An 18,456-nucleotide genomic window follows, 5' to 3' on the forward strand; every position below is an offset into this window, starting at 1 on the left:
CTCAGATACTCTTTTCATTATTTTTGCAATCCTAGAAACATTGTAATTTTTGTTTCCTAGTATATGATTTCCTACATATCAGCCATTTTGTCCTTATGGGTAAATACTGCCCTTTAGGAAGAAGCCCCATTGGGTTCACAGATTAATTCCCAGTCCCTAGAAGAATATCTAGTGCTCAGTAAAAATTTATTATATTAATTACTTAGCTAATGGTAACCAGGTTAACCATAGACTAAAATAAAACCCTGGTATCAATAGATACAAATTATTAATATTTGAGCTCCCCAAATAAAATGATTCTTGTTTGTTGGACTAAGGCAGCAATTTAGATTGTCATGGTTTTGTTTTTCATTTTATTTTGTTCTTCTTATTCATGGCATCTGCTATTAGCAGAATGAAAAATTGGCATGTGTGCCTTCTGAATATGCTGCACTGAACTGTCTGTGCTCAAGTACCAAGGCACATATGTTTGTCTTCTCTGGACCAACACACAAATTGTAGGTTTTTCAGGGTCAACAGTAATAAGCATCTATAATTATAGAGTTAGGAAAAGAAACATAAATAGTATCTATTAGTAACTGATAACAGGAAATAGGCTCTCTAATATCCATTCATTTTAATTAGGAAAATATGCATGGGTTGGCCTCAATTAGAAACACACACACACATACACACACACACAGAGGAGGTAGGGCAGAATGGGCTTTTTAATTAATGTCTTGAATAAGTTATGACTTAGGAAACTTCCTCTTACTTTTGCAGTTGTTATGTAGTAATGATCCTCAAACGTCTGAAATTCTTTGAAATTCTAGAGAGGTTCAGAAACCACTGTATACCACACTCTATTATTAATCCACCCTAAAAACACCTCCCTCCCCTTTCTAAAAGGACCCATTTGCTTACTGGATTCTGCCATTACCAAATAGTTATTTTTAAAAATCTTAAGGTTTGAAAACTCACATTACATTATTCTGAAAAGGAAAGAGACTTAGATGTAGAACTTGTTTTTATGCCTTCTTTCTGTAAGTTATGGTTTGCCAAAGCCGCCACAGCATCTGCCTCACTGTATTGGTCACGGTTCTCAAGAGAAACCAATAAAATGTGTGTGTATATGTGTGTTGAAAGATAGATAGAGATAGGTTCATAGAAATACATATTATCTATAATAAATCTCTATAACATATATATAAAATATGTATTGAATATATAGATTAAATTATTAAATATATACATAATATATATTAATAAATATATAAATAAATATAAAATATAAATATTGGCAGGTCTGAAATATGCAGGGCAGGTTGGCACTTAGGGGTTTCCCTAATCATTCTCATATTCCATTTTCATTTTGTCCCTATAATACATATGGCAGTGCTTCCAAAGGCGTCTTAAGTTCTCCCCACTCCTTTTACTGCCCAAAAGATTTCCTAGATTTACTTCCTTGTCTTTGTGCATTTTATTATCAAATCATTTAATATTTTAAAAGAATGACTCCAGTGCTCAAGACTAAAAGGAATTCCTTTTAAAATGCTGAAATAGTCCTTACTAATGAAGTAAAGTTTCCTTGGCCGACATGTTGATTTACTGCTTTGTGGCCCTGATTTCTTGAATGTCTGTGTGAAACCCATATAAAGGCCAATAGGTAGCATTCTACCTGTAAGCCATGGCCCTGTGCTAGAGTGCCCAACCATCTGATCCCAACCCAGCCCATCTGGTTTGTGCACTTTTACTGTTCAACTTTTCCTGGATCTTTTCCTGGTTCTTGGTTCTTGTCTTGTCAAGACACAGCAGAGACAAAGTTGGTAATTTTCAAAAGGAATTTTTTTTAATGAATGTAGAGGAAAAGAATGCAAACACATTTGTATAGAAATAAAATTTCTAGAGGCTTCTTATTTTAACCAGAGTTTAGCTACAGATTGGATGGATTGGATAAACAGGAAACTGTCCAGCTCTTTTTATTGCCTTAACATTGTCTGGGTTTTCTAGTAGAAAATGGAAAATAAACGTATTTAAATATTGTGAGATTTAATTTTATTTGATGTCAATTCTAGAAACCTCTAACAAACACTTCACATCTCCCTTTGCTTCCTAGAATTACCTCCACACATGGACCGCAAGCTCCCAGGCTGTTTGTCTGTGGCCTTAAGCCCTGCTTCAACCTTGTTTTGCTCATTGCCTACTTCTCTCTGGCGATCCCTAGCCCACAGCCCTAGATAAGAAGGCACTTCATAGTGTGTCCTCAAAGACTCTTTTTCTGAAATCAGAGCATCTTTCGCCACCTGCCACATCCTTGTTCTGTTGCTCTTCTCTTGCTCAATCTGCCACTAGGTACCTGAAACCCCCACCTCTCCAATTCCATTTGTTAACCACTATATTTTCTTCTTCCTTTTCCTCCTCCTCCTATCATTACTGCTGCTAATTTTAGGGTGAATTCCATCCACTAGGATATTCAGAAAGCAATGAGTCCCTTCTGGGTTTGAGATGACATGCTCCATTTATTTCTCATACTTGTCAACTCATCATGCAGGTGCTTTGGATGACAGAATATTGACATTCTAGAACTCAATTTTTACAATTTTACAAAACTTTCAAATCTTAAGCGTACAATTCAACAAAATGAAGAATTTCTATCAAAAATTTTCAAATGTACAGTCTTTCAAAGAAATTATCTGAGAACAACAGAGTAACTATTCATCTTTATCCCAAGTTTTTCCTGTTGTTTGTCTATGCCTGACAATAAGAATAAACAACAGAGAATCAAGGCTCTAGAACTGCTCTTTCTTTCTACTTGCAAGATGGTTGTGGAAGTGGATTCTAACCATTCCCAGTTTGGATTTTAACTGAGTGGGCCCAGAACACAGAGATAGCCCGGGAGAAGCTCTCATAAGTCATAGACTTGAATGGTCACAGTTGCCTCCCCCAGCTCCACAGCTTTTCTGGCCTCACCCCGAGGAGCAGTACACAGGGGCCATAGCTTCTCTCAGAGCCTCCCTGAGTGTATGGAGGAGCAAAGAAAATAAGGCACCGTAAGTCAGAAAATAACTGGCCATGCTGCAATGGGAAACCAATTTTGAACTCCCTCTCCAAAATTAAAAGGGGCCTCTAGATTGCTTTAAAATGCACTTGATTCTCATTATTTGCAGTAGTTATGTTCTATAAAGTAATCGAATAAGTCAATGCTGAACCTTTGCTCCTAGGAGAGTTATAGGGTTAGGTTCCTGTGAGCTTCTGGTCACAATGTTTTGATCAACCAATTGATACATAACCTTGCTTTATGTGTGTTTCTGTTTAAAAATACCTTATTTAATATACACTGTTGATTCAAAGTGAACTCACCATCAACACTGTAACTCAGGCCTGAATGAATTTATCTAATACATATATTTTCTCCATAAGGCATGCCACTGCTTTCAAGTGCTTAGAAATACTACACAGCACTTCAGCACTGTACTTGGGGGCCATTTTAAACAGCTAATTCACCAAAATAAACCACAAAAACTGTGACAGTTGTGGCACCAAATGGACTGCAAACAGGACATTTGTTTACAGTTTGAGAGCTGAAATAAGAAGGCATATGGTTGCCTTGTTTGACCCCAGCTGGGAATGTGTGCTTTGGGTGACTCAAATTTTTCATTGCTATACATATGTCTGCAAATGACTGGGAAAGTGCCTTAAGGTGTTACAAACAAATTTTGTGAGTAAATGAATTTGCACAAACAGAATTCCCAAATAATGAGGACCAACAGTACTTATTTGCATGGAAGAATACATTGGACATAGGTTTAATAACCGATTGAGTAGATGTTATGGTCACCAATTGAATATTGAGAAAAATAAGATGCATAAGTTCAAGTAGCTTGTGCAAATGACACTATGACTAAATACTAGAATTAAATTAAATTTTATAGGTTTAATGCATACAATCTGGCTCCAAAGTCCTAATGCTTAAGTGCTACACTATATTGCTTCTCATGAAAGATAAATATTAAGTTTTAGAATTTTGGTATTTAAGTAATAAAAGGCATTATTTTGAAGTTTATTTAGCAAGAAGAAATTAAGACTCATTTGAATATTATGCAGATTAGGACATAACCTATTCAACTAAAACATTTGAAAGACAGAGTATCTTGTATGAAGTTTCTTGAGACAATTAACAAGAGAAATACCAAGTAGATGTAAATTCTAATTTTTTCTCTTATTTAAGAGAATATTTTAGTAACAAGAATTCAATTACAACAGTTAATGAGGTAGATTCAATATTGAGTTTAATAGTAAAGTATGTATCTACTTGTGAATTTTCCACTACGATATTTTATGTAATATGAGAGGTAACAACAAAACTGTAGCATAGGGCTTTGATGGACTATTTCCTTTGTGCATTTTGTTTACATTATCAAGGTTTTAGAAGCATGATAACCTTGGCAGCATTTTTTTGTTTCTTAAAATTCCAAATAGAATTATATGTCTAATCTTTTGACAGGATTGGAAGAGTAACACCTCACATGTTATATAATGGTTCTCCTGTCAGAGAGCAAAAGGTTTCATAAACACAGCAATGCTCTGTTTTTACAGATCCACAGAAATAATAACATTTCATCAGATTTCAAATACTATTATGAAAGGAATGAAAATTGTTGTTTCTTCAACTTTTCAGCTACCTTCCCTACTCTAATTGGTGTCTGATTAAAACCCAGGAAAAATTACCTTCCAGAGAGTTTCTTGGCTTAAAGCATTTGTGACATGGCATCAAGCCCAGAAGAATATCAGAAGTTCTATAATTTTGACCCCCAACCCTTTCATTTCATAAATTAGGAAACTGAGGTCCACAAGATGAATTCTTAAGAACCACAGATTTAGTGGCTGAGCTGGGATTAGAATGCAGATTTCCTGATTTTTAATCTTCTCTTTATTGTGTGCTTTATTGTTTTGCCCCAAAGTAGCCACCCCAAAGTGGTCATTCTACTCTGAATGAATATTTACTATTCCAGATAATGATTTATGAGAACAAATGGATTGCATGGTCATGAATTTCCAGTTTTAATACTCATCTTACTGTTAAATTCTTGTTTAATGCTTATATTCTAAACTTGAGTATATTTTCATTTTATTATTCTAGTGAGCTAGGTTAATCTTTTGAAATCGTTGGTTTGATTACTTCAATTTAATTATCAGCCATCTTTGTAGAGACTGCCTCAGAAAGTTTAGGAGCAACTCTGCACAAACAAATGTATGACTTGATTTCTTTGCTATGTGCTAATTCACCTGTTTATTTGTATTTGTAAAACAAGTGACATTGGACTTCTCTTTAAAAAATTTCCCCCAGACATTTTATTCTATTCTCATGAAATTACTGTTTGAAAGACATTGGCTGAAACAACTGAAAACTAAAAATGTATCTGGTCTAGAAGAAAATGAAAAGTAAATTTGCCACACCTTGGTTTGAATTATGGCTTCTCTATTTACACCTTGGTAATAAAAACAGATGCAGTTAATCTAGATTAATTAAATGAAAATTGCCATGAAATGAAACAAATGTACACTGTAGATTAAACACATGCTAAACGTTTATTGTATCTCCTAAACAAATCTATTATTTTAACCTAACAAGTGAGACTGTAAATTGTTTGCAAAGTAAATGTGTGCATTTAAGAAAATAACTACATAGTGTATGAACTAAGATGATTAAAGCAAATTGACAGTTTTCAAAAAAGCAATGAGATGGCTGTTTTCCATTGCTTTAAAAGTTTGCTGGAAGACAGTTGACTTTGGTTTTGATTCCTTTGATTCTGTGGCTATAAGACTTCACCTTACTTCTGATAATGCCACAGCTATTATGTTGGTGTGTAATTTCTATAACTTTTTCTCAGCTAAGTGCAAAAGTATAGAATAATAACAAACCATCATTCATTTGTGTTTTATTTTGTTTGTCATTGGGATACAGGTTGCATTCATCATTTTACAGTGATATAAAATTAATAAATATCTTCTAATTGATAGTTAATAATTATGAAAAATCAAACTCTAAGACATTGATAAAAAAGTTGTAAAATCCAGATGGAAATTTCCACACTGAAGTTATTTATGAAAGCACTCACCTGTATTTTCTGATGCAGTTAGTTTTTGAAAGAAAAATTTTATATAGAAATCTAATATAACCCCTCAAAGAATTTCATGTTCATTTCAACTTTGGAAGGAAGCAAACTAGGCAAGGAGGTAGAATATAAAATTATTTTATAGATGAACTTGCAGAATTTCGTTATTTAGCGTTTGGTTAATGTCTAAGTACATTCAAAAGGAGTTATTACAGCATGTTTTTCTTTCTTTTTTTTTCATTTAAGAGGTTGATGTGGCTTTTTAAATTAAACTTACCTCACAAGTAAGATTGGTGCATTAATGCTAGTGAGAATATTAGTTTATATTTATTTTAATATAGGTAATTGAGCGAGGGGAAGATTCTAAATTTCTAGAACTATTGATAGTTTCTTACACAAAAAGTCTGCTGTGCTTTATGGGAATTACTTTTAGGAGCAGATTGTGTTAGACCTTTTAATGAGATTGCCAATAAAATGAAAACATTAAATCCTACTACTTCTTATGCTTACAGATACTCATTTCAAAGAACTTCCAACTCTTCTCCACTGTGCAGCAAAATTTGGCTTAAAGAACCTGGCTATTCATTTGCTTCAATGTTCAGGAGCAACCTGGGCATCTAAGATGAAAAATATGGAGGGTTCAGACCCCGCACATATTGCTGAAAGGCATGGTCACAAAGAACTCAAGAAAATCTTCGAAGACTTTTCAGTAAGTTTTTTTTTTAAATTATATCTCTGTATATTCTGTTTGATATTGTAGAAGAGACTGTAAGAAGAAAAAACCTATTACCTTTACCGTTTTCTTTAAGACTCTAGTTAAGGCACTATTAGGCACATGAAAACATATCAATAATCGTTAGGTTGCAGAAAAACAATTTGATAATAATTCAAAAAGTCTACCCAATAAAAAGTTAATTTATGTTGCTTAAATTTGTTTTCCTTAAGTGATTCCTTCTCCTTCTCCCTGTTAAGTCCCAGTTCTGTCTTATGAAGGTTGAAGCCCCAAATTTCAGAACACTTTTTGAAGAATGTTAGTTTTGTAAGAATGTAACCAAAGAAGATTTTAAGAAGGAGGGGATACTATCTCAGTACATAAAACACACTTTGTGTTTCCATAATCATGTTTAGAAAAGCAATTGTTTTTCTGGTTGTAACAAAGATATGCACATTTTGCTCCAGAAAGTGAATTATACTCTGATGGCTCTTTGGAAAATATAATGGGACAATGATTATGCTGATAAATTATCAAAATTTGTCCCTGAGTATTTAAAACAAATAATTTTGTTGTCAAGGAAGAGTTGATATAGAATATGTAAATCCTGTAAGCTTCTGGCTATTTTGGCATTTATTCTGATTGTCAGATTAAGCCAATCTAATTAATATTGGACTTCAGAAACAATCATTGGTATTTGAGATTTCCAGAGAGTATATTTAAAATAAATATAGCACATGAAGTATTATGATAAAATTAATAAACTACTAATTTTTTGTCTTATGTCCTTCAAATCAGAAATAACCATTATTTTTATTGCTGGAAGGATTTTAGACAGTGATTGTCATATATGCTAGTTTTTAACTAGTTATCATTCTTTATCTGATGAGGGCATTCATTTTCATAATTGTTCACTGTATGCAGGCATTGAATAGGGCAGCATGGTATCTATCTGGGGTAAGTCAGTAAGTCAATTCAGCCTTGGATATTTTCCATTAATACTGTTATTTAATACATTTTAGTTGCCTGTCTTTAACTCTATACAACTCTAGTCTTTAATTTTTAGCCACTGGTACACTGGGTTAAAATTTTCCCTGGAAGTCCTAGCATCTAGGGATGCTTTCTAAAATAATCCCTGATTTTCAAAAAGTCATTCTTCCACTTCTTGCTCTCCAGTAAAGACTCAGCTTTTGACAGATTCAACCCCATGCACACTTCAGGTGCTCCATAAGTAACAAAATAATACATAATGATGACAGTAGATATGAAAGTAAGTACAATGGTAGGATATGAGGTTTGATGGATGTGGGATATAATTTTTTTTCTCTTACACCCTCTCAGTATTTATACCTCTGCTCCTGCAATAACAGCACTGATAGAATTTGATTGCTATCATTGTATCTAGGTGACAATCACTTTTTCGTAGTCGCTGCATTCTAATTTTACAGTTATACTTGATAATTCTTGTGTGAAATATGTTACATAATTTTCTATAGTATCTTTGTAAGCTGTTATTTCTGCCTGAATGTCTACAGTAAATGTTACCATTATAGTTAAGATAGATCAATTATTTTGTGAATGTTCTGCTGTCAGTAAGGAATTGACTGTAGCTGTTGCAAGTGCCAACAGATCTGTCAATGCGTTTTCATGACCATGGATAATTTTATATACAATAATTTTGCAAGCTACGAAGGCCTTTTTGCAAATGTGTAGTTAAGAAAATGAAACATATGTATTATATTTTGACCCTCATGGAAAAATGTTTCCTGTCAATTTATATGACACATAAATTATTCTTCTAATTATCAATTTTATCTAAAATAAATTTGGAAGTCATATCTTCTGAGTGAAGGTATGCTAGATAACCATATGTTGACACTGTCATGGATGAAGCTGGAAACCATCATGCTCAGCAAACTATCGCAAGGACAAAAAACCAAACACCGCATGTTCTCACCCGTAGGTGGGAATTGAACAGTGAGAACCCTTGGACACAGGAAGGGAAGCATCACACACCAGGGCCTGTCATGGGGTTGTAGGAGGGGGCAGAGATAGCATTAGGAGATATATCTAATATAAATGATGAGTTAATGGGTGCAGCACACCAACATGGCACATGTATACATATGTAAGAAACCTGTGTGTTGTGCACATGTACCCTAGAACTTAAAGTATAATAAAAAAGACACTATCTATTCTAAATACTGTTATTTAAGTCTTTTAAAGAGTGTATGTAAACCTGATGGAGAAAAATGGAATCTCATTATACTACTAAAATACTTTACTGTTGCTTTAAAAGCCTCTATATCACTTCAGTGTTATAATGACTTAGATTCTGATAAATCTAAGATCCTCACAAATGCATTCAAATTTTTCATGAACTATTGTTTCAGAATAGTTTAAAGGAGCAGATATTTTTAAGTTTGAGGTTTACAATCTACTAGTGGACTACACTTCTACTGAAGAAATATCTATTTTTAAATTCCAACATATTTTGCTCCTAACTAATTTACTGATTTGCTCAGTACTTCCTAATCCCCCATCAATAAAACATTGCTCATTTTAGAATTTCACAGGGAGTTACAATACAGTGATTTGGGTCATCACTAAATAAAGTGGGTAGAAGGAAAAAAGAAATTATGATTTTAGAAAAATACAGAGAAAACACAAAAGCATTAGCAAGCATTCATAAACCAAGTGGCACCATGTCTTATTGTTAGGTATATGAAGGAGGAGGATGAAGATAAAGAGAAGAATGAGGAAGGAGGGGAGGAAGAGAAAGGAGAGAAGGAGGAGAGTAGGAGAAGAAGGGGGCCTGAAATCACATTTCTTACATTGCTTCATGACATTTTTTATTTGAGAGGTTAATAATTTATACACAGTCTATGAATAGAGCCTCTTCATTATGAATGAATAGCTTTCATGTTTTGATAAAGTTATGTAATTAACATCTGTACTTCATTTATGTTTTCAGTGCTATTACTGGATAATAATATCATATATTTCTATAATCCATAAAGTATTTCAAATATCTACTCATTTTTCAGTTTCTAACAATATCACCTGAGAGAATTAATATGAAAAGTAAATGGGAAAATGGCAAAAGATTTGGTACTTAAATTCACAACTGCGTATGAACAACGATTTGCTTAGCATTATTCATAAGGAAAGCCCAGGACATTTTAAATAGTAAATAGTGACATTGATGATTGATTCAGCCTTCAGAAACTTATCTCTTAAATAAAACGTGCATGAAAAGTTGAAAACAAACTGGAACTTGGCCTCAGATTGAGGTGCTTTGAGATTTAAGATAAAGTGTACAAGACTAGTCTGTACTTTAAGCAAACAGATATAAATAATATTTGCTTGTATTAGCTCACATATGTCACCCCATCCATTCCCATCCGTTTAGAACCCTTAACAAAATGATTACATCAATGTGTAAATAGACAAGGAAAAGTACATTCTCCTCGTTGGCCAGCTATGGAATTGGAGACAGGTGTTCACTTATCTTAGAAACAATATCCAGAAAATATCTTTTTCCTTCCACCACTGTGTTCACTTGTAGTTTGGTTTAAATATTTAAGTATCTTAAATTTTCTTCATGAATATAATAAGTTGTTAATTATAAATATTGATGAAGAAAATTTAAGAAATGGGAAAATCAGCTTTCCATGCACATTCTCTAACTGGCTTTTCAGAAGTACTCCTGATTGGGAATCTTTCTATTGCTCATGTGTGCGATGGGATTCCTGTGGCATCAGGCTCTCCTTAATCTATCCCTACACTGCTCTTTGTCCCTGTGGACACTGGGCCCGTGTGTGTGTGTGTGTGTGTGTGTGTGTGTGTGTGTGTGTGTGTGTGAGACAGAGAGATTTTGTTGCCCTCCAGTATCTGACTGACAGGCCCTAATCTTTTTCAGATAGTCAAGGGCTTGGGTTTAAAATACAGGTATGGAGGGGTAGGTGTTGAAGCATTTACAATATCCCTAATATAAAGCAATAATTGACTGGGTAATATAGAGAACCAATTACTCAGAAGTTAGGTTTTGTGTTTAGGCTAGTAAACATTCACTCTTCCTGGCTCTTTATTTCTCTCATTCTCAGCATTGCCCTCTCAGTATTTTACAAGTAGATTGTTCCATTTAATTCAGTATATATCCATGTTATATAATTTAGTTTAAATGGCAGCATATCCTGCTTTGCTTATGTAGTTTTTCCTTTCTTATAAGTCTGGAAGCTTGTGATGGATAGTGGGCTCTCCTCCCCTCCCACCATCAGGTACACTAAAGGTGCTCAGCATGTATTTTTCTCGTTGATGGTACAGAAGGTTGGTGTCCAATTGAAAGACTTGTCTTATTTCACTTTCCCAATCATATACTTAACTAGGTCCCATATGGTAAATAAAATAATTGGTCATATTTCCTATACTTGGAATTTTTTTAAAGTTTAGTTTCGGAGACTTCATAGACAGCCCTACTGCTTGTCTTCAGCATATATTTTAATAGGCCCAACTAGTATGAATTTTGGAATTCTGGCTTTTATTCAATATTGATGTTCTGTTCTGTTAGAATTGAAGAAACTAGAATAAGTCACATAATTGCATTTGACTGCATGCATTATAAATTTATGTGTCAGTTTTGTGCTTGAAACTACTTGGGAATCTCTTTCAAAAATCTGGCTATCACAGAATTTTTCTCTTCTCCAAGTCCTCAGACCCAGTTTTGATGCCCTAACTCTGCAGCTCTAAACATGCTATGTAAACTCCCTTAAATCTTTTTGCTTTATTGTCAAATTTTCCATTTTCCTTTACTCCTAGAGTCTTGGAATTCAGCCAGGTCTGGATTTTAAACCTAACTTCATCAAAAACTAAGTTTGCATCCTTGGAAAAAATAATTCCTCATAGAGCACTTTAGGATTTGATGAAATGAATGTAAAATTATTAAATATATAGAAGACCCACAAAAAATATTGCATTCACCTTATTTTCTGTTGGCTTATTGTTATTCATATCAAATTTAGACTTCACTGTCAATCATACCTTCTCTTTTCTTGCATCATTAATCTCTCTCATTATACTGACTCTTCCCTGAAAAAGTGTTTCAAGAATATATATGTACATGCTTTACATAGACATATAGTTTTGTATTGTTTAAAGACTATATATATATATGTGTGTGTGTGTGTGCTTTGCATTTAGCTCACTACTAAAGCTGCTCTGTCAAAAGCCATAAATAATCAACCATGTATCAGATCCAGTGGATTTCTTTCAGACATCTTTTGGCACAACCTTTGACATTGCTTTCTTTGACCCTGCCCTCTTTCTGAAGGTCCACTGACCCCTTGTGACTTTCTTGTCTTCCCCATCAGGAAAGGTTCTTTCTGCACTCTCTTCACTTGTGATTAAAAGGCAGTGTCATAGCTGGAACAAATGAAATCATGTGGAATTTGTGTGAAGCAGAAGAAAATTTATAAACAGGATTTTAAATAAGCACTTAATGGGAAAGGTGAAGGATGCATATGGTGAAAGAAATGGGATGTGCAGTTGTGTGAAGAAGGCAGAGTAGGTAAACTCTGACTTCTTAGGCCAGAAAACCAAATCTTGTTATTGACTTTTTTTCATAGAATGCATATTGTTTTTTAACTTATGATAATGACCTACAAAAGACTATGCATCTATTAAAAGAAAACTTAACATTTGATATGGGATTTTGGTAAAATATATACTAAGAAATGTTTGTAGAGCCCCAAAGAGCTCATACACAACTTAATGGTAAGTACATAAAAACCTAGTTGTTTGCGGTATTTTTGCCTACTCATACTGTAAGAAAATACTTGATTTTTAATTATTTATTTACACGCTTTGCACAGGTTGTATGCTTAATGCAACGTGTATGATATAACTAGATTCAAATAGAAAAATCTGTAAAAATAAATTTCCCAAATTAATTTTATGAGATGTAATATATTATTTAGAAAAACTGTCCTTAGGCTATTCATCAGTAGAATGTTCATTAGGAAAGAGATTTCTCATGTCTACTAAGCCCAGTGTGTGAGACTGCTTAAAGTAATCTCTTTCTCCCAGAAATCATGTTAGTTTGGTTTAACAGAGTAAAGCAAAAACCCCATTTGTAATTCTCAGGAATAACTATTCTCAGATGTCACAGCCGCTGTTTTCTCAGTGTTTTGCTATGTAATAAATGATTTATATTTTCATAAAGTTGCTAGAATAGCAATCAGTGTCTGTACACTCTCTTTCCATATACACAGAATATAGTTTTTTAAAAGCTTTCCTGGGTTCTCATTCATTACTCTGCCTCAGCAGAGTAGGAAACAGAAGCAGAAAGGGTCAGGATGATGTACAGCTAGCCTCCACAGCAGTATAATCATTTGGCGGTGCGTTGGGAAGGGGAGCAGGCATCACTGGGAAAAGCAAGATGAGTAAAATATCTGAATAGTCCTTGAACGTTTCTTACAACTCAGACACATAAACAGATTATTGCATTATCAATTTACATCACCAAAAGATAAATTAGCCCTAAAATTCAACAAAATAGAGGTTTTGTAAAATGAATATAGTGTGTGATTTGTATTTCCAATTTCTCGAATAAGCATAATGTATTATATTCATCACTCAGGTTTTTTATATCAGAAATGTTATATTCTCATAAAAACAGGAGACACACATTTTTCATAATGTAGACATTTGTTATCCTTTTTATTCCAAGATCTATTAACTCCTTTACTTCATAACTTCCCTCAATTGAATAATTAGTATTTTAAAAAATAACTTATTGTTAAAAATTTTTCTGAGAATAATGACCCTTTTGATAAACCTTAGAGGGCACTTTGTCCTAGCAACAGCTGAACTCTGAAAAGCCACATCTTATTTTCCCAGGCAGAAGGGAATCTTGTTTTTGGGAGCTATCATAATTTTATTCCTAAATGAGATTTACCTTGTAGTATTTATTTGAATATCTATTCTCACTTTTGAAAAAATATTATTTAGAGTTAGGGTAAGGCCCTCTATCTACACTTTAAGCCCATTTCCCACTGTTCTCAGATATATGGAACAGAGCTAGGGTAGAAAATTTAGATATAACAGCTATATAGTTCAGAAGAATTTATAATATATTTGCTTTTATCTTCATTGTACCAAATGCCATAGCTGCTATGAATGCAATCATGGTATATGAGGACAAGTGATGATATGATTTTGATTACCTATGCCTCAGTAGGTAATGATTTTTATGCTCATTGCATTAAAATTAATTCAATACCCACAGATAAGGCAATTTATGAAAGTAATAGAGGGAAATAATATACATGTGCTTACAGTTCTTTTCCAATAGAGATCCTTAATACATCATTAAATAATTTTTTAAAGTTGAAACAGTATCTTATTCTAAATAGGTAATTTGTTATCTTTTATACATTTGCTTCACATGCTGGCAGTCTCCAGGATCCTATTAAGAGTCACATCCTTGCCTATGGGGGCTAAATCGTCTTTAAAGACCCTTGGATACCTAAGTTTTTGTAATTTTTAGAGTTCTGATTTCTCAGAAGCCTTCTAAACTTTAGTTCTTTCATTTTTTTCTGGCTTCTTTCAAACCAATTAGCTTGTGTAGAACAGGGTAACCTAGAGCTCTCACTTACATGCCTGCTGGTCAAAAGGAAATGCAATTTCAGAGAATGCAAAATTAATCACTAATGGTAATTAAAGCAATCAGTATTGACACCATATCTGTCGAGCGTGGCCCTCATGAAATAAACACACGGCATTGTCCTTTCAGAAGGAAAATATGCAAAGGCAATTGAATTAAAATTTCATTGGAAAAATATTGTTCCTGGAAATTCTTCTCCATTAACTGGCTTTGAATTTCCATCATTCTTGATTCTTGAAGATAGGAAAGGGTATTTAATATAATCCAATGTAGATTGGGTATATACTTTTCTACTAGTATCATGAAATGGTTTTTACTTTAAATTCATGTAAAGGCCTCTCCAGGCATATGAAAAGAATCAGACTTATGAAAAAACAAGAATATTCATCAAATATTACAGCTCTGAGCCTCAACAATATATTTTTTTCATTTCTCCTTATGTAGCAACACTCTCTTTGTGATATATATATAGATGTGAGAAAGTAAAGATTATGATTGACTTATTCTGCCTCTAAAAAATACAGTATAAAAAGAAAATAAATGGCACCAGTTGAAGGCTAAATTTTGGGTTTGTTTTACATAAATTAATCAACTCTCGCTTAAGCCAGAAAACAGTCTCCATTTTAGTTTAACAAATAGATTGATTGACTCAACGAATATTTATTGACTATCTGTTAGGTGCCAAGCATTGTTCTAAACACTGGAAATCCAGAACAGACCAAAACTCCTACCCTAATGGGAAATAAGACTATAAATAAATAAAGATATACAATGTGTCCAGTGGAAATTAAAGTTTAAGGCCAGGAAGAAATAGAAAGAACCACATTGCATAAAGTGGTGCGTAAAAGGAGATGGGAGGGGGAACAATTTTGAAACGAGTAGTCAGGGAAGTATTCACTGAGGAGTACTTTTTGGTAACTGTCTAAAACTATGAAAGAGAAATTCATGCATTTATATGGACAGGTATTCCAATAAGAGAAAATGGCACAACAAGGGCAAAGGCTCTGGTAGGATGTGGATATCCACAAAAGAGCCAGTTGGTCAATGTTACTGAAGCAAAGTAAGTGAGAAATAAAAGAAACAGTAATTAGATGGCATCAGAAAGATAAGTAAGGCCGGATCTGTAGGGCTGTATAGGTAATGATGAGAATTTGGTATTTTGGAGAAAGGCATTAGAGAATTCTGAGAGGCATTGTATTTGTCTGTTTACACACTGCTATAAAGAATTGCCGGAAACTGGGTAATTTATAAAGAAAAGAGGTTTAATTCACTCACAGTTCCACATGACTGGGGAGACCCCAGGAAACTTACAATCATGGCGGAAGGGGAAGCAGTCGCGTCTTATATGGCCGCGGGTGAAAGGAGAGAAGGAGGAATTGTCAAACACTTACAAGACCATCAGATCTTATGAGAACTCATTAGCTTTCACAAGAACAGCATGGGGGAAAACTGCCTCATGATCTGATCACCTCCCACCTGGTCCCACCCTGGACATATGGGGATTATGGGGATTATGGGGATTACAATTCAAGATGAGATTTGGGTGGGGACAAAGAGCCAAACCATATCAGGCATCATATGATTTAAATTGATCAGAGTCACAACTATATTGATCACAGACCATACAGGGCAAGAAGGACAGATAAGACCTGACTGGCAACTACTCCCATAGTCCAGATGATAGATGATAAAAAGATGCTAGTTTCCACTAGGATGACAGCAGCAAAGACAACCAGAAGTGGTTAGGTTTGAAATATGCCATTGTTTTTTAGTATAGGCAATGGAATTTACTGACTTTGGTGGTGGAATATAAAAGAAAGTGTGTAGTTACTGATATTTCCAAGTATGTTGGTAGAAGCGGAGGATGGAATTAATTGCCATTTACTGAGATGAGGAAGATTGAATGAAGAAATGGTTTGTTAAGAAAAATCAGGAGTTTGGCTTGGGACACGTTAAATTTGAAATGCCTACTATGTTCCAAAGTTTGGAAGTAGAGGTTATAGGGAGTACCAACAGAAAAAGCCAACAACGAGCAGCATTTGAGGTAGGAAGAGAATCAAGAAATCTATTGACCTGGATGCCAAGTAAAAGAAAGATTTTCACAGATGAGGTAGTGGACAGCCACATTAAATGCTACTGACAGGTCAACTAAGATAGGACAGATAATCAAATTTTTGATTTAACAACATGTGTATGTATATTTGTATGTGCATATTTATGTATTTCTCCTTAAAAATTAGTTATCATAATAATAAGCCTTTCCAAATATTGGAAAGATGATTTACTGGGAGAGGAGAGAGATTAAGATAAATTTTGTAATGAAGCATGAGCTCTATGATACTTTGGGGACAATTCTGATGAATATTTTGCTCTAATTTAGTTTGTCCCAAATACGTCTTATTAGCTGTTTGTGGAAACAAGAGTGAAGCATGATGCTATTTTAGAAACACATTTCCTGACATGTGGTTTGGAATCCTTCAAGAAAATGTAGAGGAGGAGACAACATTCAGTCTCCAGCTGGTATGAGTGTCTTGTGGAGAAAGTGAACTGTCAGGGAAAAAAAAATCAGAGCATTTTTATCTGTCAGACATTAAGGTCCATTCATAGTGAAAAATCGTAAACTCAGATCCCTGATTTGAGCCTGTGGCTGAGATTTCAGCCTAAGCAAGAACACTTCTCCCTTTGTTAGTGTTTAATTTTCTTTTCTCAGTACTGCCGAGTTCACTTATTCAAATTTGGCTCTTGGTAAAATATCAGCAAGCCAATTAATCCATTTCCTTAATGAGAACTCTCTATTATAAGAATGGGTAACTGCATAGACTTATATTGAACCTATCAATCTTGAATTTGAAGGGGAGAATGCCAATTATCCAGTCAATCTGGTTCATTACTGCAGTATTGGACCACGTCGCTAAATAAGCCCACAGTGCAACTACAATAGCATTGTGGGAGTGGAGAGCAGCGCCTGGCGCTGAACATTTGTTCACGGCCCATTATATGCCAGATTGGGTTAGAAACTTTATGCACACCCTCTGGTTCCATGTTCTCTGCCACCCTCTGAGGAATTTCTACTTAGTTTACATTTTGAGAAACTGAGGCTAACAAGTTGGAGAGTTAGTGAGCTGTGAAGCCACCAAATAGCCTCCAAAAGATGGCTACTCATAACAACCTGCTAACTTTATGGTCTCACTTCTTGAATTCTGTAATGATTCAAATGATTCTTTCCAATTTTGGCTTCTCCTTTGTTCTTTTCTTGACATTTCAACCTGATGTCCATACAATGCCTCTGAATAAAATATCACTCTCATCACTATACTATTATCATAATAATTCCCAAATATTTAGCAAGCACTCAGTCTACATCTGATGTGTTAGGAATTGTTGGTGAGGGAGGGAGAAAGGAGGGAACCTTGTACTTTGACTCCTCTCTAAAATCTACTTCATGAAACATCAGATTGTTGGAAGGTCCAAATTATATGTATGAAAGGCCTTTAGGATTTGTAAAGCTTCAGCACCATTTTTAATATTATCATCACCATTTTAAAACTTCCCATAAATAAATTTTAATATTTTAAACACTTTGAAAGTGAATTATTTTAATACTTAAGTCATTTCTAATTTTAAAAAACTATATGACACATGAATTTTTCTCTCTTTTCTACTGTATATGGCTTTCAAAACGAATGTAGGAAACAATATTTATCAAATTTTCTCCTTAAATGGGTTAAACTGTAACATTTTCTCAGGGAATGAATATATGTACTATCCTTTATTTTTTGTCTGCTTTCTACTTATTAAGTCAATGGAGTTTTTCAGTTCTCAGAAAAATTTAAGTTGCAATCATTTAAAGTAGCCAGAGATTGCATTTAGCAACATTCAGCTAATGTTGATAACCCTTCCTGGTGCTTATATTGTATTAATAGTTTGTTGGGGGGGGACTAAAAATGAATAAACACACAAAGTAATTTCAGAAAGTGATAAATGCT

At 34.1% G+C, this 18,456-nt stretch overlaps 1 protein-coding gene across 3 annotated transcripts in view; it reads left to right on the forward strand.

Moving 5' to 3' along the window:
* BANK1 (B cell scaffold protein with ankyrin repeats 1) overlaps positions 1 to 18,456 on the forward strand; it is a 284,083-nt gene that overhangs the window by 120,656 nt on the left and 144,971 nt on the right. For all 3 annotated transcript variants that reach the window (NM_017935.5, NM_001127507.3, NM_001083907.3), the window contains one exon: positions 6,608 to 6,804. In NM_017935.5, the coding sequence (NP_060405.5) occupies positions 6,608 to 6,804 (197 nt within the window). The remainder of the gene's footprint in view (positions 1 to 6,607; positions 6,805 to 18,456) is intronic.

This window comes from Homo sapiens, chromosome 4 (genome assembly GCF_000001405.40).
Source record: "Homo sapiens chromosome 4, GRCh38.p14 Primary Assembly".
Classification (NCBI taxonomy): domain Eukaryota; kingdom Metazoa; phylum Chordata; class Mammalia; order Primates; family Hominidae; genus Homo; species Homo sapiens.